The sequence below is a fragment of the Homo sapiens genome, chromosome 14 (genome assembly GCF_000001405.40).
Source record: "Homo sapiens chromosome 14, GRCh38.p14 Primary Assembly".
In the NCBI taxonomy this organism is placed as follows: domain Eukaryota; kingdom Metazoa; phylum Chordata; class Mammalia; order Primates; family Hominidae; genus Homo; species Homo sapiens.
In genome coordinates this window covers 31,234,031-31,259,416 of record NC_000014.9, presented here as the reverse complement: position 1 = coordinate 31,259,416, position 25,386 = coordinate 31,234,031, and the positions used below count along the sequence as shown (strand labels likewise).

The 25,386-nt window shown below is 45.2% G+C and overlaps 1 annotated feature.

Moving 5' to 3' along the window:
- Nucleotides 6,215–6,714: an enhancer, noted in NCBI's record as "H3K4me1 hESC enhancer chr14:31721909-31722408 (GRCh37/hg19 assembly coordinates)". NCBI's record gives its function as "activates a minimal SCP1, AML or CMV promoter by ChIP-STARR-seq in primed H9 embryonic stem cells {active_cell/tissue: H9 hESC(primed)}" and the evidence as "EXISTENCE:reporter gene assay evidence [ECO:0000049][PMID:30033119]".

Below are 25,386 nucleotides of genomic sequence, written 5' to 3'. Positions count from 1 at the left end.
GAGTGTGGTGGTACATTCCTGTAATCCCAGCTACTCAGGAGGCTGAGACAGGAGAATCTCTTGAACCCAGGAGGCAGAGGTTGCAGTGAGCCAAGATTGCGCCACTTTACTCCAGCCTGGGTGACAGAGCAAGACTCTATCTCAAAAAAAAAAAAAAAAGAAAAAATAGAAATGGGGTTTCACCATGTTGGCCAGGCTGGTCTTGAACTCCCAACCTCAGGTAATCCGCCCACCTCGGCCTCCCAAAGTGCTGGGATTACAGGCTTGAGCCACCACACCCAGCCTCTGAATTTCTTTAATACTTAGCTTTAATTCATTAATTTTTTTGAAAACCTGCAACAAAAAGTTGTGATTTTATTTTATTTTATTAATTTATTTATTTTTTCCAGACAAGGTCTGGTTTTATTGTCCAAGCTGGAGTAAAGTGGCATGATCTCAGCTCACTGCAACCTCCACCTCCCAGGCTGAGGCCATCCTCCCACCTCAGTCTCCCGTAGTAGCTGGGACCACAAGCATGTGCCACCACCTCTGGCTAATTTTTGTATTTTTTTGTAGAGACAGGGTTTCGCCATGTTACCCAGGCTGGTCTCTAACTCAAGAGCTCAAGCAGTCCACCCACCTCAGCCTCCCAAAGTGCTAGGATTACAGGTGTGAGCCACCACGCCTGGCCCAAAAGTTGTGATTTCAAGTTTTAAAAACAGCTAATAGGCTGGTCTGAGTGCAGTGGTGTTTACAACTAATTGATCACAACTAGTTACAGATTTCTTTGTTCCTTCTCAACTCCCACTGCTTCACTTGACTAGCCTTTAAAATAAGTTATGGCTTCTCTACAAAAAATTTAAAAATTAGCCAAAAAATAAAATAAATAAGTTAATTAATGAAAAACCAAACACACAGAAAAACAGTTAATACTGTTTTAATACTGTTAAACATTAAAACAGAAAGTCTTAAGGTAAAAATTTGTAGAAAACAATAACCATTGTACAAGAACGAAGTGTCTCTGGATTCATTGAATGCTGTTTCTAAGTGCCAGAAATAAATACTGTTGCACACATAGGGATGAGAGTGTACGCTGCGTTTTGTGCACCCAAGCATCCTGAATGCTGAAGTGGACTGTGTTTACTTGTGCTAAAGCAAACTAAATATGCCCTGGAAAGGACTTCGTACTTCTATATTTGAGTCCTTGTGGATGAACTGTAACCTAGCTTAATAATTAGACAAGATTGAAAACCTAATTTAGGAGTATGCACCTGTAACAATAGCTAAGTCTTGGCCAATCCCAGCGGCGGTACTTCTACCATTCATACACTACTGAGTGTTCAAATTGTGTTCAAATATGGCAAACGCCAAGCTGTAACCAATCCAGCCATTCTGTACCTCACTTCCAATTTCTGGAGTCATTTCCCTTTTTTTGGTCTATAAATCCTCTTCCACCACGTGGCTGCGCCAGAGTCTCTGTGAATCTGCTGTGATTCTGGGGGCTGCCCAATTAGGGAATGTGTTCGTTGCTCAATTAAATTCCTTTAGCCGGGCACAGTGGCTCACGCCTGTAATCCCAGCACTTTGGGAAAAGGAGATGGGCGGATAACTTGAGGTCAAGAGTTTGAGACCAGCCTGGCCAACATGGTGAAACACTGTCTCTACTGAAAATACAAAAATTAACTGGGCATGGTGGTGCGTACCTGTAATCTCAGCTACTTGGGAGGCTGAGGCACAAGAATTGCTTGAACCCATGAGACAGAGGTTGCGGTGAGCTGAGATCACGCCATTGCACTCCAGCCTGGGTGACGGAGTGAAACTGTGTCAAGTATCAATTAACTGGAAAAATGCCTTGCCTTTGGCATTCCAGTTGATGGCTGAGAGAAGTCACTGGAGACCTCATAAGCTAGAAGTTTTTCTGATCAATCTCACAAGTCTGGTATGCCCTGCCAGGATCACATTTTGAGTCTGTTCATGGGGCTCCACCCTCTCTTTGCTTCCCATAAGAGAACTGAAACCTTCTGCCTTTCCTCCACAGCCAAAGGGGATTTTTATCACCTCTCTCCCACTGCTCTTTCCCCTTCTCCCATTGAGTAGTCTCTGCTTCTAAGCTTGCCTTTTATTCATTCAAGGGCAATGTGTAAAGTAGAGTGACCTCCTGCCAAGATCCAAGACTTCGGAGAAGACTGGTCTCCAACGTGAGGAAGGTTGGAGAGCTGAGATGGTGGGTGCACCCTGTAGCACTGCAATAGAGAGAACACATGTTTCTGGCCTCCCAAGTTGGATGTGTCCATGTCTTTTCCCAGAAAATATGCTTACACACAATAATTAGTCTCAAACTATCAGTACAGCTTTATACTTTGGGGATGTTAAGTGCAAGTATTAATATACCAGAAGCTGGAAGCACATGCCTAACACAGTCTATAGTGCAGCATTGCGGTCCAGCTTGTGAACCCACTTAAAACCCAACCACAACTTGGAAGACTGTCTAAGAAAATGCTTTCCAAACCCTAAATCTTAGAAAAGTAAAGCAGAGAATCACAAATAAATGACTCCCTAGTACCTTTACTCTTTTTTTTTCTTTTTTGGAGACAGGGTCTCACTCTGTCTCCCAGGCTGGAGCACAGTGACAAAATGGCTCACTGCAGCCTTGCAAGGAGATCCTCCTGGCTCAGCCTCCCAAGTAGCTGGGACTACAGGCATGCACCACAATGCCCAGCTAAGTTTAATTTTTTGTTGTTGTTGTGACAAGGTCTTGCTATGTCACCCTGGCTGTTCTCAGACTCCTGGCCTCAAGTGATCCGCCAGCCTCGGCCTCCCAAAGTGCTCTGATTACATGCATGAAACACCGCACCCAACCTGGCCCCTACCCTTACTCTTAAACTGACCTGAGAATCTACAGTTTGTTTGCTGAGGTAAATGTGCTCACTTTATGCACTGTCCACTATATATACATTTCTACCTCAAAGGATTAATTTACATAAATTTCAAAATTTATTTAGAAAAGTTTCGATAGGCCGGGTGCGGTGGCTCACGCCTGTAATCCCAGCACTTTGGGAAGCCAAGGCAGGCAGATCACAAGGTCAGGAGTTCGAGACCAGCTTGACCAATATGGTGAAATCTCGTCTCTACTAAAAATACAAAAATTAGCCGGGCATGGTGGCAAGTGCCTGTAATCCCAGCTACTCAGGAGGCTGAGGCAGGAGAATCGTCTGAACCCAGGAGGCAGAGGTTGCAGTGAGCTGAGATCACACCACTGTACTCCAGCCTGGGTGACAGAGTGAGACTCCATTTCAAAAAAAAAAAAAAGAGAAAAAGAAAAAGAAAAGTTTTGATAATCCTCAGCGACAGTGAAGGTGTTCAGAAACTGGCACTCATATATGCCACTGGTAAGAGTGTAAATTGCTACAACATAATGGAAGCCAATTAAGTAATACCAAAAAAAAGGCCTATAAGCAAGCTAAATATACACTGTTATGGCTCTGGTTAAATCAGTAATCCAGGGCCAGGCACAGTGGCTCATGCCTGTAATCCCAGCACTTTGGGAAGCTGGGGCAGGCAGATCGCTTGAGCTTGCAAATTTGAGACCAGCCTGGGCAATGGGGCAAGACCTCATCTCTACCAAAAATACAAAAATCATCTGGGCGTGGTGGTGCCCACCTGTGGTCCCAATTACTTGGGAGGCTAAGGTGGGGGCTAATTGCTTGAGCCCAGGAGGTGGAGGCTGCAGTGAGCCCAGATCATGCTACTACACCCCAGCCTGGGTGACAAAGCAAGACTCTTTTCTCAAAAAAAAAAAAAAAAAAAAAGAGTAATGCAAACATTGGAATAATATGCAATTCCTTTTTAAAAGGTAGCAGATTGATTGTACGGATATGTGAAAATGCCCAACATACACTTAATTGTATTTTTGTTTTATTTTATTTATTTATTTTTGAGATGGAGTCTTGCTCTGTATCCCAGGCTGGAGTGCAGTGGCTCAGTCTCAGCTCACTGCAACCTCTGCCTTCTGAGTTCAAATGATTCTCCTGTCTCAGCTTCCCGAGTAGCTGGGATTATAGGTGCAAGCCACCATGCCTGGCTAATGTTTGTATTTTTAGTAGAGATGGGGCTTTGCCATGCTAGCCAGGCTAGTCTCAAACTCCTGACCTCAAGTGATCCACCCACCACGGCCTCCCAAAGTGCTGGGATTACAGCAGTGAGCCACTGCGCCTGACCCATTTTTTTTATTTTTTGAGACGGATTCTTACTCTGTTGTCCAGGCTGGAGTGCAGTGGCACAATCTCAGCTTACTGCAACCTACTCCCGGCTAATTTTTGTATTTTTAGTAGAGATGGGGTTTCAACATGTTGGCCAGGCTGGTCTCGAACTCCTGACCTCAAGTGATCCACCCGCCTTGGTGGATTACAGGCGAGAGCCACCACGCCTGGTCTTAATTGTATTTTTTAAAGTTGCAGAATAGAATGCATATTATACTCTTATTTATGATTTTTAAAAACAGATTATACATATATATTTATTTGTATGTTGAAGCATATGCTTTTCTAAACATAGGAATTTTCTAGAAGAATATATCTGAAATTATTAATGGTGGTTAAGAACAGGGACCAAGAAATCACCTTATTATTGAATTTCCTTACATAAGCAGAAATGTCATCACTTAATATACCAATTAGGCTGGGCGAGGTGGCTCATGCCTGTAATCCCAGCACTTTGAGAAGCCAAGGCAGGCAGATCACTTGAGCCCAGGAGCTCGAGACCATCCTGGGTGACACAGTAAGACCTCGTCTCTACTAAAAATAAAAATAAAAAAATTAGCTGGGCATGGTGGCATGTGCCTGTGGTCCCAGCTAATTGGGAGGCTGAGGAGGGAGGATGGCTTGAGCCCAAAAGGTCAAGGCTGCAGTGAGCTGTGATCGTGCCACTGCACTCCAGCTTGGGTGATAGAGTGAGACCCTATCTCAGAAAAATAAAATAAAATACTAACAAAAAAAATTTCATGTACTTGAAAGTCTACATTATCCATTAGTTCAGTCTGGAAACATAATCAGGCTTCCTAATATTGAAAATCAAGAATCCCAGAGCTGGATGTATTTAATAAAACTGAGGCCAGGTGTGGTGGTACACGCCTGTAATCCCAGCACGTTGGAAGGCTGAGGCCCGTGGATCACCTGAGGTCAGGAGTTCGCGACCAGCCTGACTAACATGGTGAAACCCCATCTCTACTAAATACAAAACAATCAGCCAGGCATGGTGGTGCATGCCTGTAATCCAAACTACTTGGGAGGCTGAGACAGGAGAATCGCTTGTACCTGGGAGGCAGAGGTTGCAGTGAGCTGAGATCGCACCATTGCACTCCAGCTTGGGCAACAGGAGCAAAACTCCACCTCAAAAAAAAAAAAAAAAAAAAAAAACTCTGCCTTGTGATGGCAACTTTTGAATCCGGATTAGTCTTTCAGGCTACTGAACCCCCAACAAGAAGCATTAGCGCATTAAGCCTTTCTACTAGCTTCTGTATTTGAGTAAATCAGTGTAATCCTCATGTCTGGAAATGAGAATGTGTCTGTGGTGCTGTATAAACCACCATATACATACCCAACACTGTACTTTAGTTTAGATGTTTTCAAGGCCTGGGATAATCAAGTCAGAAGATCCTTCTGGGTCTCTGTTTCTTACAGGAAAGAGGGCAGTTAGGTCCCTAGGTGACTCTAGCATCTTCTTTTCTTTTTTTTTTTCTTTTTTTGAGATGGAGTCTTGCTCTGTCGCCCAGGCTAGATTGCGGTGGCGCAATCTTGGCTCACTGCAACCTCCACCTCCCTGGTTCGAGCAATTCTTCTGCCTCAGCCTCCCAAGTAGCTGGGATTACAGGTGCCTGCCACCGCACCTGGCTAATGTTTGTATTTTTAGTAGAGATGGGGTTTCACCATCTTGGCCAGGCTGGTCTCAAACTCCTGACCTCGTGATCCACCTCCCAAAATGCTGGGATTACAGGTGTGAGCCACCGTGCCCAGCCGGCTCTAGCATTTTCTAATTACCCCATTTGCTTTCAGCTAACCACTGAGAGACTGAATCAGAAGGACTGGGGACTACTGGGGAAGTTTTTCCACTTTGTTGAATCCTTTTAAATATATCTTCTTATTTCTAAGGCATCAATTTCTTCTGTCCTAGAATTATGTTTTCATCATTGGTTATTTATATAATGATAACAGTTATTTGCATTATGTAAGTGTGTTCACTGGGCCCTGGGAACCCTACTGATTTAAGTGCCACCATCAGGGGAAGAGGCTCAAGCTCTGTCCTCCAGCTGCCAGTGAACACAAGCTCAGAGCCAGGCTCATGTTTGCAGAGAGTAGGCACTGGCATCCAGAAAGCCAAGGAGCACAAACTCATAACTCAGAGAAGTTTGGGTGAGGGAGGAAAGCTCAGCACAGACAGCTAAATCTGCCCCTACCTTGGATCCTGGAGGCTACTGGGCAAAGCCACCCAATAGGATGTAACAAAACCACACACCTGTCCATGGAGCCACTGAGCCGTGGTCATGAACCAAGCCCCTCTGCACCAAGCTCAAAGTTGGCACCAGGCCACTGTCCACCCATCAGACTGGCTTTTTTTTTTTTTTTTTTTTTTTTTTTGAGATGGAGTCTCGCTCTGTCGCCCAGGCTGGAGTGTAGTGGCAGGATCTCGGCTCACTGCAACCTCCACCTCCCGGGTTCAAGCCATTCTCCTGCCTCAGCCTCCTGAGTAGCTGGGACCACAGGCACCCACCACCACACCCAGCTAATTTTTGTTTTTTTAGTAGAGATGGGGTTTCACCATGTTGGTCAGGCTGGTCTCGAACCCCTGACCTCATGATCCACCCGCCTCGGCCTCCCAAAGTGCTGGGATTACAGGCGTGAGCCACCATGCCCGGCCTCAGACTGGCTTTTTTAAATCTATCTTTTGAGGATACCAGAGAATCCTAACCTGGATCTTATTTTTGAACAGAGTTGTTATTTTGGGTAACAAGAAAAGTAACTGGGACCCTCATCTGGAGGTCTCACAGTGCTGCCTCTATTATTTAAGTCAGGATATCCTTTTCTTTTAAGCATATGTGAGGGGCTGAGTCTTATGCACACACTCAAAAGTCAGAAGGAGGGAGTGCCCCCAAAGGGTTTCTCTCTCTCTGGCATCCCCACTGGCTTTAGACACAACATCCCCCAAATCTGTTGGATTTTGACTATGAAATTTAGAATTTTTTTTCTTTCCCAAAGAACAACTTTCTCACCACTCTTGTTATACATACTATTCCAAAAATAAGTGTAACAAGAAACAGACAAATACAGGACAGTTCAGGAAACCAGTGAGTTTGAAAAATATATATATATTTTCCCTCTAAAGAATGTGTGTGGCCAGGAGTGGTGGCTCATGCCTGTAATCCCAGCACCTTGGGAGGCCGAGGGGGGAGGATCACCTGAGGCTGGGAGTTCAAGACCAGCCTGAACAACATGGAGAAACCTGGTCTCTACTGGCTATCTCCTGTTGCTGTCATAGTCCTGTCTTCCCATTCTTCATTTCTTCCTCCTATACGCTTCCTTTTCCTCTTTTCCTTCTTCTTCCTGTTGTTATAAATTCTCCTGCATCTCTTCCTTAAGTATCTATTCTTTTGCCATTTCCTGCAGCAGCCACTATCGACATAACAAGGCATGAGCCTCACCCTTACCCAAAGCCACTGCCACACCCTGGGCCTGCTGCCATTTCAACGAGCCCAGCTCAGGCTCCCAGTCAAATCACCTCCTCAGCTGGAGAAGCACTGTCATGGCGGCACATGGCTCAGCAGTCCCAGAAATGACTTACACCGGAGTGTGGGAGACTTACTCTTAAGCTCCTGAGTAATTGCCAGTCTGGGGACACTACAGGGATTGAAGCACTATTATACCTTTATGGCAGTTTGCGTTTGTTTTTCAGTACTTAACTCCATCCTCAAGCCTCAGAACAAAATCACTGGCATTAGGGAAAGGAAGAGAAATATGGTAGGACTGTCAAGGTACAAAGAAGATGCTATATAAATGTTTATCAAGTTAATGAATGGGTTCAGGCACAGTGGCTCACGCCTATAATCCTAACACTTTGGGAGGTGGAGGTGGGAGGCTCACTTGAGCTCAGGAGTTCTAGACAAGCCTGGGCAACATAGCAAGACCTTGTCTCTACTAAAAAGTTTAAAAATTAGCCAGGCATGGTGGCATGTACCTGTAGTCCCAGCTACTCAGGAGGCTGAGGGGGAGGATCACTTGAGCCCCAGAGGTCAAGGCTGCAGTGAGCCTGTCAGGCCTCTGAGCCCAGGCCAGGCCATCGCACCCCCTGTGACTTGCACGTATACATCCAGACGGCCTGAAGTAACTGAAGATCCACAAAAGAAGTAAAAACAGCCTTAACTGATGACATTCCACCATTGTGATTTGTTCCTGCCCCACCCTAACTGATCAATGTACTTTGTAATATCCCCCACCCTTAAGGTACTTTGTAGTCTCCCCCACCCTTAAGAAGGTTCTTTGTAATTCTCCCCACCCTTGAGAATGTACTTTGTGAGATCCACCCCTGCCCACCAGAGAACAACCCCCTTTGACTGTAATTTTCCATTACCTTCCCAAATCCTATAAAATGGCCCCACCCCTATCTCCCTTCGCTGACTGTCTTTTCGGACTCAGCCTGCCTGCACCCAGGTGAAATAAACAGCCATGTTGCTCACACAAAGCCTGTTTGGTGGTCTCTTCACAGGGACACGCATGAAATTTGGTGCCGTGACTCGGATCGGGGGACCTCCCTTGGGAGATCAATCCCCCGTCCTCCTGCTCTTTGCTCCATGAGAAAGATCCACCTACGACCTCAGGTCCTCAGACCGACCAGCCCAAGAAACATCTCACCAATTTCAAATCCGGTAAGCGGCCTCTACTCTTCTCCAACCTCCCTCACTATCCCTCAACCTCTTTCTCCTTTCAATCTTGGAGCCACACTTCAATCTCTCCCTTCTCTTAATTTCAATTCCTTTCATTTTCTGGTAGAGACAAAAGAGACATGTTTTATCCGTGAACCCAAAACTCTGGCGCCGGTCACGGACTGGGAAGGCAGCCTTCCCTTGGTGTTTAATCATTGCAGGGATGCCTCTCTGATTATACACTCACGTTTCAAGGGTGTCAGACCACGCAGGGACGCCTGCCTTGGTCCTTCACCCTTAGCGGCAAGTCCCACTTTCCTGGGGCAGGGGCAAGTACCCCTCAACCCCTTCCCCTTCACCCTCAGCGGCAAGTCCTGCTTTCCTGGGGCAGGGGCAAGTACCCCTCAACCCCTTCCCCTTCACCCTCAGCGGCAAGTCCTGCTTTCCTGGGGCAGGGGCAAGTACCCCTTCCCCTTCACCCTCAGCGGCAAGTCCTGCTTTCCTGGGGCAGGGGCAAGTACCCCTCAACCCCTTCTCCTTCATCCTTAGCAGCAAGTCCCGCTTTCCTAGGGGGCAAGAACCCCCCAATCACTTATTTCCACACCCCAACCTCTTATCTCTGTGCCCCAATCCCTTATTTCCGCACCCTGACCTCTTATTTCCATGCCCCAACCCCTTCTCTGCTTTTCTGGAGGGCAAGAACCCCCCACCCCTTCTCTGTGTTGCTACTCTTTTCTCTGGGCTTGCCTCCTTCACTATGGGTAAGCTTCCACCTTCCATTCCTCCTTCTTCTCCCTTAGCCTGTGTTCTCAAAAACTTAAAACCTCTTCAACTCACACCTGACCTAAAACCTAAATGCCTTACTTTCTTCTGCAATGCCGCTTGACTCCAATACAAGCTCGACAGTAGTTCCAAATAGCCGGAAAACGGCACTTTCAATTTTTCCATCCTACAAGATCTAAATAATTCTTGTCGTAAAATGGGCAAATGGTCTGAGGTACCTGAAGTCCAGGCATTCCTTTACACATCAGTCCCTTCCTAGTCTCTGTGCCCAGTGCAACTCGTCCCAAATCTTTCTTCTTTCCCTCCCGCCTGTCCCCTCAGTCCCAACCCCAAGTGTCGCTGAGTCTTTCTGATCTTCCTTTTCTACAGACCCATCTGACCTCTCCCCTCCTCGCCAGCCCAAGCTAGGTCCCAATTCTTCCTCAGCCTCTGCTCCTGCACCCTGTAATCTTTTTATCGCCTCCCCTCCTCACACCTGGTCGGGCTTACAGTTTCGTTCCGTGACTAGCCCTCCCCCACCTGCCCAGCAATTTACTCTTAAAAAGGTGGCTGGAGCCAAAGGCATAGTCAAGGTTAATGCTCCTTTTTCTTTATCCCAAATCAGATAGCGTTTAGGCTCTTTTTCATCAAATATAACCCTGAGATGCTTCACAGCCCTAGACCCTAAAAGGTCAAAAGGCAATATTATTCTCAATATACATTTTATTACCCAATCTGCTCCCGACATTAAATCTCCAAAAATTAAATTCCGGCCCTCAAACCCCACAACAGAATTTAATTAACTTCACCTTCAAGGTGTACAATAATAGAAAAAGTTGCAATTCCTTGCCTCCACTGTGAGACAAACCCCAGCCACATCTCCAGCACACAAGAACTTCCAAACGCCTGAACCACAGCGGCCAGGCGTTCCTCCAGAACCTCCTTCCCCAGGAGCTTGCTACAAGTGCCAGAAATCTGACCACCAGGCCAAGGAATGCATGCAGCCCAGGATTCCTCCTAAGCCGTGTCCCATCTGTGCGGGACCCCACTGGAAATTGGACTGTTCAACTCACCTGGCAGCCACTCCCAGAGTCCCTGGAACTCTGGCCCAAGGCTCTCTGACTGACTCCTTCTCGGCTTAGCGGCTGAAGACTGATGCTGCCCGATCGCCTCGGAAGCCCCGTAGACCATCACGGACGCCGAGCTTCCGGTAACTCTCACAGTGGAAGGTAAGCCCGTCCCCTTCTTAATCAATACGGAGGCTACCCGCTCCACATTACCTTCTTTTCAAGGGCCTGTTTCCCTTGCCTCCATAACTGTGGGTATTGACAGCCAGGCTTCTAAACCTCTTAAAACTCCCCCACTCTGGTGCCAACTTGGACAACACTCCTTTATGCACTCTTTTTTAGTTATTCCCACCTGCCCAGTTCCCTTATTAGGCCGAGATATTTTAACCAAATTATCTGCTTCCCTGACTATTCCTGGACTACAGCCGCATCTCATTGCCGACCTTCTCCCCAACTCAAAGCCTCCTTCGCGTCTTCCTCTTATATCCCCCCACCTTAACCCACAAGTATGGGACATCTCTACTCCTTCCATCACCCTTACCCCGCTCAACGCCAATATCCCATCCCACAGCATGCTTTAAAAGGATTAAAGCCTGTTATCACTCGCCTGCTACAGCATGGGCTTCTAAAACCTATAAACTCTTACAATTCCCCCATTTTACCTGTCCAAAAACCGGATAAGTCTTACAGATTAGTTCAGGATCTGCGTCTTATCAACCAAATTGTTTTGCCTATCCACCCTGTGGTGCCCAACCCGTACACTCTTTTGTCCTCAATACGTTCCTCCACAACTCACTATTCTGTTCTCCATCTTAAAGATGCTTTTTTCACTATTCCCCTGCACCCCTCGTCCCAGCCTCTCTTTGCTTTCACTTAGACTGACCCTGACACCCCATTAGGCTCAGCAAATTACCTGGGCTGTACTGCTGCAAAGCTTCACAGACAGCCCCCATTACTTCAGTCAAGCCCAGATTTCTTCCTCATCTGTTACCTATCTCGGCGTAATTCTCGTAAAAGCACACGTGCTTTCCCTGCCAATCGTGTCCGACTGATCTCTCAAACCCCAGCACCTTCTACAAAACAACAACTCTTTTCCTTCCTAGGCATGGTTAGCGTGGTCGGAATTCTTACACAAGAGCCAGGACCACACCCTGTAGCCTTTCTGTCCAAACAACTTGACCTTACTGTTTTAGCCTAGCCCTCATGTCTGCGTGCAGCAGCTGCTGCTGCTTTAATACTTTTAGAGGCCCTCAAAATCACAAACTTTATCAGTCCTCCAGGCCCAAGTTGACTCTTTAGCTGCAGTTGTCCTCCAAAACCGCCGAGGCCTTGACTTACTTACTGCTGAAAAAGGAGGACTCTGCATATTCTTAAATGAGGAGTGTTGTTTTTACCTAAATCAGTCTGGCCTGGTGTATGACAACATAAAAAAACTCAAGGATAGAGCCCAAAAACTTGCCAACCAAGCAAGTAATTACGCTGAACCCCCTTGGGCACTCTCTAATTGGATGTCCTGGGTCCTCCCAATTCTTAGTCCTTTAATACCCATTTTTCTCCTCCTTTTATTCAGACCTTGTATCTTCCATTTAGCTTCTCAGTTCATCCAAAACTGTATCCAGGCCATCACCAATCATTCTATATGACAAATGTTTCTTCTAACATCCCCACAATATCATCCCTTACCACAAGACTTCCCTTCAGCTTAATCTCTCCCACTTTATGTTCCCACGCCGCCCCAATCCCACTTGAAGCAGCCCTGAGAAACATCGCCCATTCTCTCTCCATACCACCCCCCAAAAATTTTCGCCGCTCCAACACTTCAACACTATTTTGTTTTATTTGTCTTATTAATATAAGAAGGCAGGAATGTCAGGCCTCTGAGCCCAGGCCAGGCCATCGCATCCCCTGTGACTTGCACGTATACATCCAGATGGCCTGAAGTAACTGAAGATCCATAAAAGAAGTAAAAACAGCCTTAACTGATGACATTCCACCATTGTGATTTGTTCCTGCCCCACCCTAACTGATCAATGTACTTTGTAATATCCCCCACCCTTAAGGTACTTTGTAGTCTCCCCCACCCTTAAGAAGGTTCTTTGTAATTCTCCCCACCCTTGAGAATGTACTTTGTGAGATCCACCCCTGCCCACCAGAGAACAACCCCCTTTGACTGTAATTTTCCATTACCTTCCCAAATCCTATAAAATGGCCCCACCCCTATCTCCCTTCGCTGACTGTCTTTTCGGACTCAGCCTGCCTGCACCCAGGTGAAATAAACAGCCATGTTGCTCACACAAAGCCTGTTTGGTGGTCTCTTCACACGGACGCACATGAAAGAGCCATGATCGTGCCACCTCACTCCAGACTGGGTGACAGAGTGAGACCCTGTCTCCAAAAAAAAAAAAAAATTGCCCTTCATGAAGCAGTAAAAAGTATGTTTTAATAAATCTTTAATTTTGTTTATTTGTTTGTTTATTTTTGAGACAGAGTCTTGCTTTGTTGCCCAGGCTGGAGTGCAGTGGCGCCATCTCAGCTCACGGTAACCTCTGCCTCCCAGGTTCACGCAATTCTCCTGCCTCAGTCTCCCAAGTAGCTGGGATTACAGGCGCCCACCACCACACTTGGCTAATTTTTGTATTTTCTGTAGAGACACGGTTTCACTATGTTGGCCAGGCTGGTCTTGAACTCCTAACCTCAGGTGATCTGCCCGCCTCGGCCTCCCAAAGTGCTGGGATTACAGGTATAAGCCACTGCACCTGGCCTGTTTTAATAAATCGTGATCCCTGTGTACACATCTTTTAAGTACTCTGTGTGGTGAAATGGGAAATGCAGTACAAAGCAGTTGAGCTACTGAATTGTGAGCTGAACTAGCTGCTTTTTTTCAAGGAATACCACTTAAATTTATCTATCTATTTTTAGAGACAAGGTCTTGTTCTATTGCTCAGGCTGGAGGGCAATAGTGCAATCATAGCTCACTGCAGCCTCAACCTCCCAGGATCAAGTGATCCTCCACCTCAGCTTCCTGAGTAGCTGGGGCTACAGGCACACACCACCATACCCAGCTGTTTTTTTTTTTGAGATAGAGTCTCGCTCTGTCGCCCAGGCTGGAGTGCAATGGCACGATCTCACCTCACTGCAAACTCCACCTCCCAGGTTCAAGCGATTCTCCTGCCTCAGCCTCCCGAGTAGCTGGGATTACAGGTGCCTGCCATGAAGCCCAGCTAATTTTTTGTTTGTTTGTTTGTTTGTTTTGAGACGGAGTCTCACTCTGTCACCCAGGCTGGAGTGCAATGGCGCAGTCTCTGCTCACTGCATCCTCTGCCTCCCAGGTTCAAGTGATTCTCCTGCCTCAGCCTCCTGAGTAGCTGGGACTACAGGTGTGTGCCACCACACCTGGTTAATTTTTGTATTTTTAGTAGAGACAGGTATTCACCAGGTTGGCCAGGCTGATCTCGAACTCCTGACCTCAGGTGATCCACCCACCTCAGCCTCCCAAACTGCTGGGATTACAGGCATAAGTCACCACGCCCGGTCCATACCCAGCTCATTTTTAAATTTTTTGTAGAGATGGGGTCTCACCATGTTGCCCAGGCTGGTCTCTAACTCCTGGGCTCAAGTGATCCTCCCACCTCAGCCTCCAAGAGTGTTAGGATTACAGGCGTGAGCCACTGCGCCCAGGAAGACTTATTTTTTCTTCCTATACGAGTCTTTTCTCCTTGTTACCTTTCCCCTATTAAGTTAGGTGTATAAGCCCCAAATTCTAACTATTCTTTTGAGTTACCACTGAGCACTCCCATGTGTATGCATGTAAATAAACTCTTTGTTTTGTTTTCTTTAAAAGGCTAGTCAAGCGAAGCAGTGGGAGTGGAGAAGGAACAAAAATATCTGTAACTGGTTGTTATCCATTGTTGTAAACACCACTGCATTCGAACCAGCCAATAAAATCTTGCCTTTTTCTTGCTAATTTGTCTTTTGTCAGTTTAATTCACAGGTCTCAGATACTGAATTTAAGAGGGTAAAGGAAAAGTTTCTCCATTACTACAATAACAGGACAAGGAAAGGGTTCAATGAACAACCTTTCATGTTTCCTACTGAGAAATAAAAATAAAAATTTGTCCTTGACAGGCGTGGTGGTTCATGCCAGTAATCCCAGCACTATGGGAGGCCGAGGTGGGTAGATCACCTGATGCCAAGAGTTTGAGACAAGCATGGCCAACACGGTGAAACCCCCTCTCCACTAAACATACAAAAATTAGCTGGGCATCGTGGTAGGCACCTGTAATCCCAGCTACTCAGAAGGCTGAGGCAGGAGAATCGCTTGAACCTGGGAGGCAGAGGTTGCAGTGGGCCGGGATCGCGCTGTTAGATATGAGTTCTAAATTTCTTTTCAAAGAATCAATATGTCAGTATGTTCAATTCTTTGCCTTCTGCTTTTAAACCTCACTTCCTCATAAAGCAGCCTTTTTCCATTACCTGCTCCACCCTGACTCATTTCAATCACCTGCTCCAACCTGATTCATTTCAATCACCTCCACCCTGACTCATTCCGATTACCTGCTACCTGCTCCGCCCCGACTCATTCTCCACGCTGAATCACCATTTTTTCCTGCCAAACCACTCACCCCGTCACTCTCTTTAAATTAGCCAATTGCAATTAGTTTAGCCTGTGAGGTCTAACCCTAGCCAACAGGGGAATGACACAGCAGCAAGGGGCCACGTGTGTCAGGGATAAGAACCCCTTCTTCCTTGTCTTGGTGTGCGCTCACCATTGTTCCATCTCTAAGGACGCACCCTTCTATAGAAGTACCTTGCCTTGCTGAGAATTAAAAAGAAAATTTTATATTCGAGTGCTGTTTCTTTTGCAGCACTGAAACTTTGTTTATAACAGTGCTATTGCACTCCAGCCTAGGCAACAAGAGTGAAACTCCCATCTCAAAAAGAAGGAAAAAAAAGTCCAGGCACAGTGACTTACGTGTGTAATCTCAGCACTTTGGGAGGCCGAGGCAGGCAGATCACCTGAAGTCAGGAGTTCGACACTAAGCTGGCCAACATGGTGAAACCCGGTATCTACTAAAGATATAAAAAATTAGTCGGGCGTGGTGGCATGTGCTTGTGATCCCAGCTACTCAGGAAGCTGAGGCAGGAGAATTGCTTGAACCCAGGAGGTAGAGGTTGCAGTCAGCCAAGATCATGCCACTGCACTGCAGCCTGGGTAACAAAGTGAGACCCCGTATATATATATATAAAAAAAAATTATCCTAAGTGGATTAATGCAGGAACAGAAAACCAAATACTGCATGTTCTCACTTATAAGTGGGAGCTAAACATTGGGTACTCAGGGATATAAAAATGGCAACAATAGAAAGTGGGGACTACCAGAGGGGGAAGGTAGAAGGAGGGCAAGGGTTGAAAAACTATTGGATGCTATGCTCAGACATGGGTGGTTCATTTGTACCCCAAACCTCAGCATCACGCTATATGCCCAGGTAACAAGCCTGCACATGTACCCCCTGAATCTAAAATAAAGTTGAGGGCCGGGCACAGTGGCTCATGCTTGTAACCCAACACTTTGGGAGGCCAGGCAGGTGGATCACCTCAGGTTAGGAGTTCAAGACCAGCCTGGCCAACACGGTGAAACCCCATCTCTGCTAAAAATACAAAATAAAATTAGCCGGGTATGGTGCATGCCTGTGATCCCAGCTACTGGGGCGGCTGAGGCAGGAGAATCACTTGAACCTGGGAGGCAGAGTTTGCAGTGAGCCAAGATTGTAACACTGCACTCCAGCCTGGGCAACAAAGCGAGACTGTCTCAAAAATAAATTAATAAATTAAAATAAAGTTGAAAAATAAAATAAAATTTTAAGCCCCCAACTGACTGAACGGACTTCGTCTTGGACAAGGGGACCTCAGAGAAACCTTGGAAGTGGGTTCCGGCCAAAACAGATGGGAGGTAGTGTCAGAGGCCTGTGAACCAGAGCAACTCCATCTTAAATAGGGGCTGGGTAAAATGAGGCTGAAACCTACTGGGCTGCATTCCCAGATGGCTAAGGCATTCTAAGTCACAGGATGAGATATGAGGTCAGCACAAACTACAGATCATAAAGACCTTGCTGATAAAACATGTTGCAGTAAAGGAGCCAGCCCAAACCCACCAAAACCAAAATGACCACGACAGTGACCTCTGGTCGTCCTCACTGCTACACTCCCACCAGCTCCATGACAGTTTACAAATGCCATAGCAACGCCAGGAAGTTACCCTATATGGTCTAAAAAGGGGATGCATAAATAATCCACCCCTTGTTTAGCATATCATCAATAAATAACCATAAAAAAGGGCAACCAGCAGACCTTGGGGCTTCTCTGCCCATATATGGAGTAGACATTCTTTTATTCCTTTACTTTCTTATTAAACTTGCTTTCACTTTGCACAGCAGACTCGCTCTGAATTCTTTCCTGTACGAGATCCAAGAACCCTCTCTTGGGATCTGGATCCGGATCCCTGTCCTATAGCAGTAGGACCTGCCTGGTTATAACTGCGCCCCAGCCCCCCAACTTGCTAATTACCATTAGGCTTTCTCTCCTAAGGGCTAAATAGAAATTAGCCCTTTCAAAAGACTCCACTCCTGATCTCAATCAACCACATGATTGCTGTCCCTCGTTTTTGGGGTTTGACACAACACACATTAGACCAGCATTCTTTCCTGAAAAGAGACCAGACCATGCAGTGGTTCTGACCACTCTACAGAGGATGCACAGAGAGGGTTCTTCCTGTCCTCTGCCTCACCTTTTGAGGTCAGAGGGATGAAAACTCCACCCTCAAGTTATGCTGCCCTTTTTTGTACATGAGGCCCAGTTGCATATGCACATGTTTCTCCTTTCATAAATATTCGTGACTCTTCTTGTAGCTTATTGAACATGTATATTTGGCCACCCTGCTAAGTATAAATTTCTGTTCCCTCTGCCCCTCCCTTGAAGTGCCTGTTTCTGGCCTTTGGCCAGAGGCTACACTTCCCAGCCTGTCAAAATGACCACACTGCAGGCTGAAACCCTTTAGAAGAGATAAAGCTCTGCTTTCCAAATATATGAACCTCATCATTCTTCAGCTGGTAAGTAGAAAGCTAAATCAAGCCTGGAGACAGGAAGACCAGTTTGAAGTTTGCAATTGTTCAAGTTGACTTGAAAGGATCTGAACTAGGAAATGAGAGAACAAATGAATGGGAGAGACACTGGGGAGGTGGAATGGATTAAATAAAGATGGAAAGTGGAAAAGAAGAGGGAGCTGAGTTTCAGGTTTAGAGTCTTGGTTTGAGAAAGGTCTGGAGAAAGAACTAGTTGGAAATATGATAATAAGTTTGAGGAACCAGCAGAACACAAACTTCTACTGCCCAACCATTTATGTGAGGAGGCCCTGAACAGGTCCTAGATATAATCAAAATGAGTCCTGTGCTGCCTTGACTATATGCTAGAAATGCAAATCTGTATCTTAGTTCTTTAATTTGTAGGATAAGAAAGGCAACACTCACCTAGCTCCTAGAAATTTGAATGCCACGTAGAGATAGAGGGACTCTTGAGATCTTGACAAGAAGCCCCAGAGATTTCTAATGGGTCGTGAATCCTTTTTGGATTTTGCCTGTGTGGCAGACAAAGGTTTTGGCCCCTAAAGATTCACTGAAAAATCACTGACACAAGCCAGACTGATTAATAGGAGAAAAGGTATGCAAATGTAATCAATGTGTATACATGGAAGCTTTCAGAATGAAGATGCTACCCCCTTGATGAGGAGCTTATATACCATCTTAAGGTTACAAAAAGAAAGGGGGATTGGGCCGGGTGCAGTGGCCCACATCTGTAATCCCAACACTTTGGGAGGCCATGGCAGGTGGATCACCTGAGGTCAGGAGTTCAAGACCAGCCTGGTCAACATGGTGAAACCCCGTCTCTACTAAAAATAAAAAATTATCTGGGCGTGGTGGCGGGCGCCTGTAGTCCCAGCTACTCAGGAGGCTGAGGCAGGAGAATCACTTGAACCCGGGAGATGGAGGTTTCAGTGAGCTGAGATCGCGCCACTGCACTCCAGCCTGGGCGACAGAGTGAGACTCCGTCTCAAAAAAAAGAAAAAAAAAAAAGAAGAATGGGGCTTGGATCCTGGCCAAACAGGTTATGAGATGGGGAGTGGATTCTACTGAGGGGATTACTAGGGAGAATCAATGGATCTGGGAATAGAGATTTACTTGTAAACAGTTCTCTTGGACAGCAAAAGGGTCTGCTCAGGTATGGTTACAATCTTGGTCTCACAGGGAGAGGAAGTAAAAACAATTGTTCGCTTTGGTGCATCTGGATTTTAGGCAGATAAAGAAATTTCAACTTCCTTGGGAGAGATGGTGGGGAGGGGCGAGGAGGGCAGAGATACCTTGAGGCTTCTTCAGTTCAACATGTCAAAATGCCATGTTTTGGGGTCCTTGGTTTCTGAGCCCCAACACCTGTATAGATTGATGCATTGGTGTTACAGTAGGTAGCTAGTCAGACATGAGCAGGGCAGGAGAGAGGCCCCCCAACCCCCACCAGGTGACCATCAGGTTATGGTCAGGCAGTTGTTAAACTGTCTCTCTAAAACAATAATTGGTTGCAGCCAGCACCAAGGAAAGGCAGTCTCCCAATAGAAAAAACTTAAAACTGGTGATCAGCAGCCTCCTGATAAGATTTCAAGAGCCGGGAGAGTGGGCTCAAGCATGCACACTAAGAGGCAAAATGGCAGAGTTTAAACACTCTACTGGTAAGGGAAAAACGCCTCAAATGAGCATGTGCACAACTTCAGTAACACACTGCGCATGCGGCCCCTCCCAAGTGCGGACAGGCCACTGCACATGTGGACAGCCCACCCCACGGGAAGAATCAGGGAGAAGAGACCAGAAGCAACCAGAGGCATGCCAATGTATAAGACCCTGAGTCAAAAGTCAAACAGGGTACTTAATCTCTCAAGTCACTCACTTGGGCCTCTTTCAAGTATACTTTACTTCCTTTCCTTTCTGCTTAATGCTTTTTCATAAACTTTCACTTCTGATCTGAAACTTGTCTCAGTCTTTTCCTCTGCCTTATGCCCCTCGGTCGAATTCTTCCTTCCAAGTAGGCAAGGACTGAGGTTGCTGCAGTCCCCCTAGGGATCCTCTGCCACTAACATTAGTATTAATTGAATCATCTGGAATTGATGATTTCTTACCATTTTGATGTATTAAGAAGGGCAATTCCTCAATTTGCTTGAACTGTGCTGTGTGATGCAGAATACTTTAAAAGAAGATTTTCTGAAGATGACTACATTATTTTCCAAATCAGTTGAGGTGGTCATTAGTCCCAGAAGGTTATTAACTATTTATTTTTATTTATTTATTTATTTTTTGAGATGGAGTCTCACTCTGTCACTCAGGCTGGAGTGCAGTGGCACGATCTCGGCTCACTGCAACCTCTGCCTCCGGGGTTCAAGCGATTCTTGCTTCAGCCTCTTGAGTAGCTGGGATTATAGGTGTGCACCACCACGCCTGGCTAATTTTTTTGTATTTTTAGTACAGACCGGGTTTCATCATGTTGGTTAGGCTGGTCTCAAACTCCTGACCTCGTGATCCTCCCCCATCAGCCTCCCAAAGTGCTGGGATTACAGGCGTGAGCCAACGCGCCTGGCCAGTTATTACCTAATTTTAACCACGAAGCTCAAAGAGGTAGAGATAGTTTAAGACTTCATTTGCATTTTAATAAGTATAATGATTAGAAACAATGATTTAATATTTTTTGTCTACACTTTTAATAACACATTCATATTGCATTTTACAATTTACAGATAGTTTCTATCTATACTTTCTCATCTTACATTTACAACTACTCTGTGAGATAGATTACGCCAATCTAATTACTCCTGCTTTATAGATAAGGAAATAGGCTCAGATAAATTAATTGATTTGCCAAAGATCATATAGATTTTAAGTAGCAGGGTCAGTACTTGAAGCCAGGGCTAGAAATCTACATAGAAATCTACATAGACAAATAGAAATGATGATAAACATACATGTAAGAATTTTTTATGAGACACTAACTATTTAATACTGATCTGGGGCAGGTGAGGTCGCTCACGCCTGTAATCCCTGCACTTTGGGAGGTCGAAGTGGGCGGATCACGAGGTCAGGAGATCGAGACAAGCCTGGCTAACACGGTGAAACCCCATCTCTACTAAAAATACAAAATTAGCCGGGCGCGGTGGCACATGCCTATAATCCCAGCTACGCGGGAGGCTGAGGCAGGAGAATCGTTTGAACCTGGGAGGCGGAGGTTGCAGTGAGCCGAGATCGTGCCATTACACTCCAGCCTGGGCGACAGAGCAATATTCCGTCTAAAAAAATAAAAAAGAAAAATTGGAAGTGGTAGGAGAAAACAGGGTTGCCAATTTTTAATTTTGACAAATAAGAACTTTAAAAATTATACAAACGCTTATTATCACCATTATTTCATAAGAGACATAGTAATTCCAAAAAAATGACAGTTGTGAAGCTTACTCAGACGTTTTCCCTAGAGACCAGAGAAAACTTGGTTATAGACTGGCATCTATGTATCCAATGAATATATATTATAATATATTTAATCACAGTGAAAATCAAGGCACCAAAATCCCTCCTACATTTCTTCTATTTCTTTATTACTGAATCTGTCAAAAGACAAAATTTCAAAAAATTTAAAATTATCGAACTGGCTTTTATTCATGAATTAGACAACATTTCATCTAAAAATAGAGGAGTGCTATGCTGGGCATGTTAGGATAGTTGGTTTTTATAAAGTACCTTGAACAGTAACAAGGAAACAGTATAATATAAAAAGTGGATTGGTTAACATGAGGTTTACTTCAGGTTACTTTCTTTGTAGGGGTTAAAGCAGAGGGGACTTCCTAACCATGCAGGCTGAAACTGGCCTGTTTGGGGATTTGGCTATTTTCTCTCTCCTTCTTGATTTCTAAGGAAGTCAGATCAACAAGATCATTTGAGTTTGGTGATGTGGAACTTTAGTTCGAGTAACTCCATTTTGGTTTTCTCTGTTGGATCTAGTGCAGGAGCTCAGTCCAAGTCAATGGCCTCCCATAAATTTTATTTAATAAGTCTAACGCATCCTGGTCACATTGTCAGAGGTGTTTGAACCAGAGCAACTCCATATTGAATAGGAGCTGGGTAAAATGAGGCTGCAACCTACTGGACTGCATTCCCAGATGGTTAAGGCATTCTAAGTCACTGGATGAGATAGGATGTCGGCACAAGATACAGGTCATAAAGACCTTGCTGATGAAACAGATTGCAGTAAAGAAGCCAGCTAAAACTCACCATAATCCAGGTGGCCACAAGAGTGATCTCTGGTCATCCTCACTGATACACTCCCACCAGCTCCATGACAGTTTACAAATGCCATGGCAACATCAGGAAGTTACCCTGTATGGAGGTCTAAAAAGGGAAGGCATGAATAATCCACCCCTTGTTTATCATATCATCAAGAAATAACCATAAAAATGGGCAACCAGCAGCCCTTGTGGCTGCTCTGCCTATGGAGTAGCCAGTTTCTTTCTTTCTTTCTTTTTCTTTTTCTTTCTTTCTTTTCCTTTCTTTCTTTTGATTCCTTCCTTCCTTCCTTTTTCTTTCCTCTCTCTCTCTCTCTTTCTTTCTGGCGAAGTCTCACTCTTGTCCCCCAGGCTGGAATGCAATGGAGCGAGCTCGGCTCACTGCAACCTCAGCCTCCTGGGTTCAAGCAATTCTCCTGCTTCAGCCTCCTGAGTAGCTGGGACTACAGGTGTGCACCATCACTCCCAGCTAATTTTTGTATTTTTAGTAGAGACAGGGTTTCACCATGCTGGCCAGGCTGGTCTCGAACTCCTGACCTCAGGTGATCCACCCGCCTCAGCCTCCCAAAGTGCTGGGATTACAGGTGTGAGCCGCCTCGCCTGGCCTAACTTAAAATGTTTTGCTTATGATTTAAAAAGTTATATGTGTTGGCCGGGTGCGGTGGCTCATGCCTGTAATCCCAGCACTTTGGGAGACCACGGTGGGTGGATCATGAGGTCAGGCGTTTGAGACCAGCCTGGCCAACATGGTGAAACCCTGTCTCTACTAAAGATACAAAACTTAGCAGATCGTGGTGGTGGGTGCCTGTAATCCCAGCTACTCAAGAGCCTGAGGCAGGAGAACAGCTTGAACCCGGGAGGTGGGGGTTGCAGTGAGCCGAGATGGCGCCATTGCACTCCAGCCTGGGCGACAGGGTGAGACTCTGTTTCAGAAAAAAGAAAAAAAACAAAAAAGTTATATGTGTTTGTTGTAGGAAATTTAGAAAAACATAAAATAAAAATAACCTATAATTTTACCACCTCAAGAAAACGTTAACATTTTAGTGTATAGTCTTCCAAATTTTTTTCTATGGATATCTAAATACTTTTCAAAATTGAGATTTACTTACTATTTTAATGTGCTTTTCCTACTTTTATTTATATTTATTATTGTTATTTGAGACAGGGTCTCCCTCTGTCGCCAGGCTGGAGTGCAGTGGCATGCTGCAATCTCTGCCTCCCTGGGTTCAAGAAAGCCTTCCACCTCAGCCTTCCAGGTAGCTGGAATTACAGGCATGAGCCACTATGCCCGGCTAATTTTTGTATTTTTTGTAGAGATGGGGTTTTGTAGTGTTGCCTAGGCTGGTCTCAAACTCCTGGCCTCAAGAAATCCTCCCACCTTGGCCTCCCAAAGTGCTGGGATTGCAGGCGTGAGCCAATGCACCGAGATGTGTTCCCACTTTTAACATTTTGTAAGCAAAACATGATTTTTGACAGTTATTCAGTATACTAGCCTATGAATATACATACTATATTTAATCATCGTCTTAATTTTGGTTATTTAAATTTTTCAGTATTGTATGAAAAGCTGTCATGAGCACTCCTGTATACCTTTGTTCATGTCCCCAATTTTTCATTAGAATAAATGTCAGTGGAGAGATGATTAAATCAAAGATATGTATATTAGTCAGTATTTTGTTACAAATTGCTCACCAAAGAGTGCATTCCCATAAATAATATGCAAAAGTTTCCATTTCATTGTAGTAATCCAATGCTGACGTAATTATCTTTTTTCTTTCTTTTTCTTTTCTTTTTTTTTTTTTTTGAGACAGGATCTGTCCTGTTCTGTCGCTTAGGCTGGAGTGCAGTGGCATCATTATGGCTCACTAGCAGCTGTGACCCCCAGGCTCAAACAATCCTCCTGTCTCAGGCTCCCAAGTAGCTGGGACCACAGAAGCGTGCCACCAAACCTGGCTAACTTTTTCTCTTTTTTTTTTGTAAAGACAGGGTTTCCCCATGTTGCCTGGGCTGGTCCTGGTCTTGAACTCCTGGCCTCTAGGGATCCTTCCGCTTTAGCCTCCCAAAGTGCTGGGATTACAGATGTGAGCCACTGTACCCGGCCTAAAAATATATCTTGACTATGCAATTTTGATTTAAAATGTTATTTTCACAGCCTCCATAAAATGCCAAGATACAGATTGTTTATTATACGGTTCTTTCTCCTTATTCATATTGTTACTATTATTCTTTTTTTTTTTTTTTGAGACGGAATTTCACTCTTGTTACCCAGGCTGGAGTGCAGTGGCGCGATCTCGGCTCGCCATAACCTCTGCCTCCCGGGTTCAAGCGATTCTCCTGCCTCAGCCTCCTGAGGAGCTGGGATTACAGGCATGCACCACCACACCCGGCTAATTTTGTATTTTTAGTAGAGACAGTGTTTCTCCATGTTGGTCAGGCTGGTCTCGAACTCCCAACCTCAGGTGATTCGCCCACCTCAGCCTCCCAAAGTGTTGGGATTACAGGCATGAGCCACCATGCCTGGCCCTCACTATTATTCTTATTGCTACATTGAACGATTGAACATTCAATTGTATTTGCAATCCTAGTTCAATTGTATTTGCAACTATTTTGACATTTTGCCAATTAGCTCATCTTCACTTCGTTTTCTCTGGGTTAAATATCATGTTCAAATTGTGAGAGAATATAAACATTAATTATTGAAATGTATAATATTTCTAATTATCACTGCTTGGTTCTTAAACATTGCACATTTCTGATAGCTGGGTAGAAAAAGGAGATGAAAGAAGCCAGAAAAACTCTGTCAAATATCATGTAGCTTCAGCAATACTTTTTTTTTGTTTGTTTTTTGAGAGGGAGTCTTGCCCTATCACTCAGGCTGGAGTGTAGTGGTGCTATCTCGGCTCACTGCAACCTCTGCCTCCCGGGTTCAAGCGATTCCTCTGCCTCAGCCTCCCAAGTAGCTGGGATTACAGGGGCCTGCCATTATGTCCAGCTAATTGTTTGTATTTTTAGTACAGATGGGGTTTCACCATGTTGGTCAGGCTGGTCTCGAACTCCTGACGATGTCAGGTGATCCACCCATCTCGGCCTCCCAAAGGGTTGGAATTTCAGGAGTGAGCCACTGTGCCCTGCCAGCAATACTATTTTAGTAACGATTGTTTTCATTGAGCAATTGATTTCACCTAGAGGGAATTCCTTCACTCTTCCAGACAGCAGGCTAGCATCAATCAGGGTCTCAGGTTCATTTTTCAGAAGGGTGGTTTTGCTTAGCAATCTCCCAAGTGATATTAATCGAGGGTGAATTT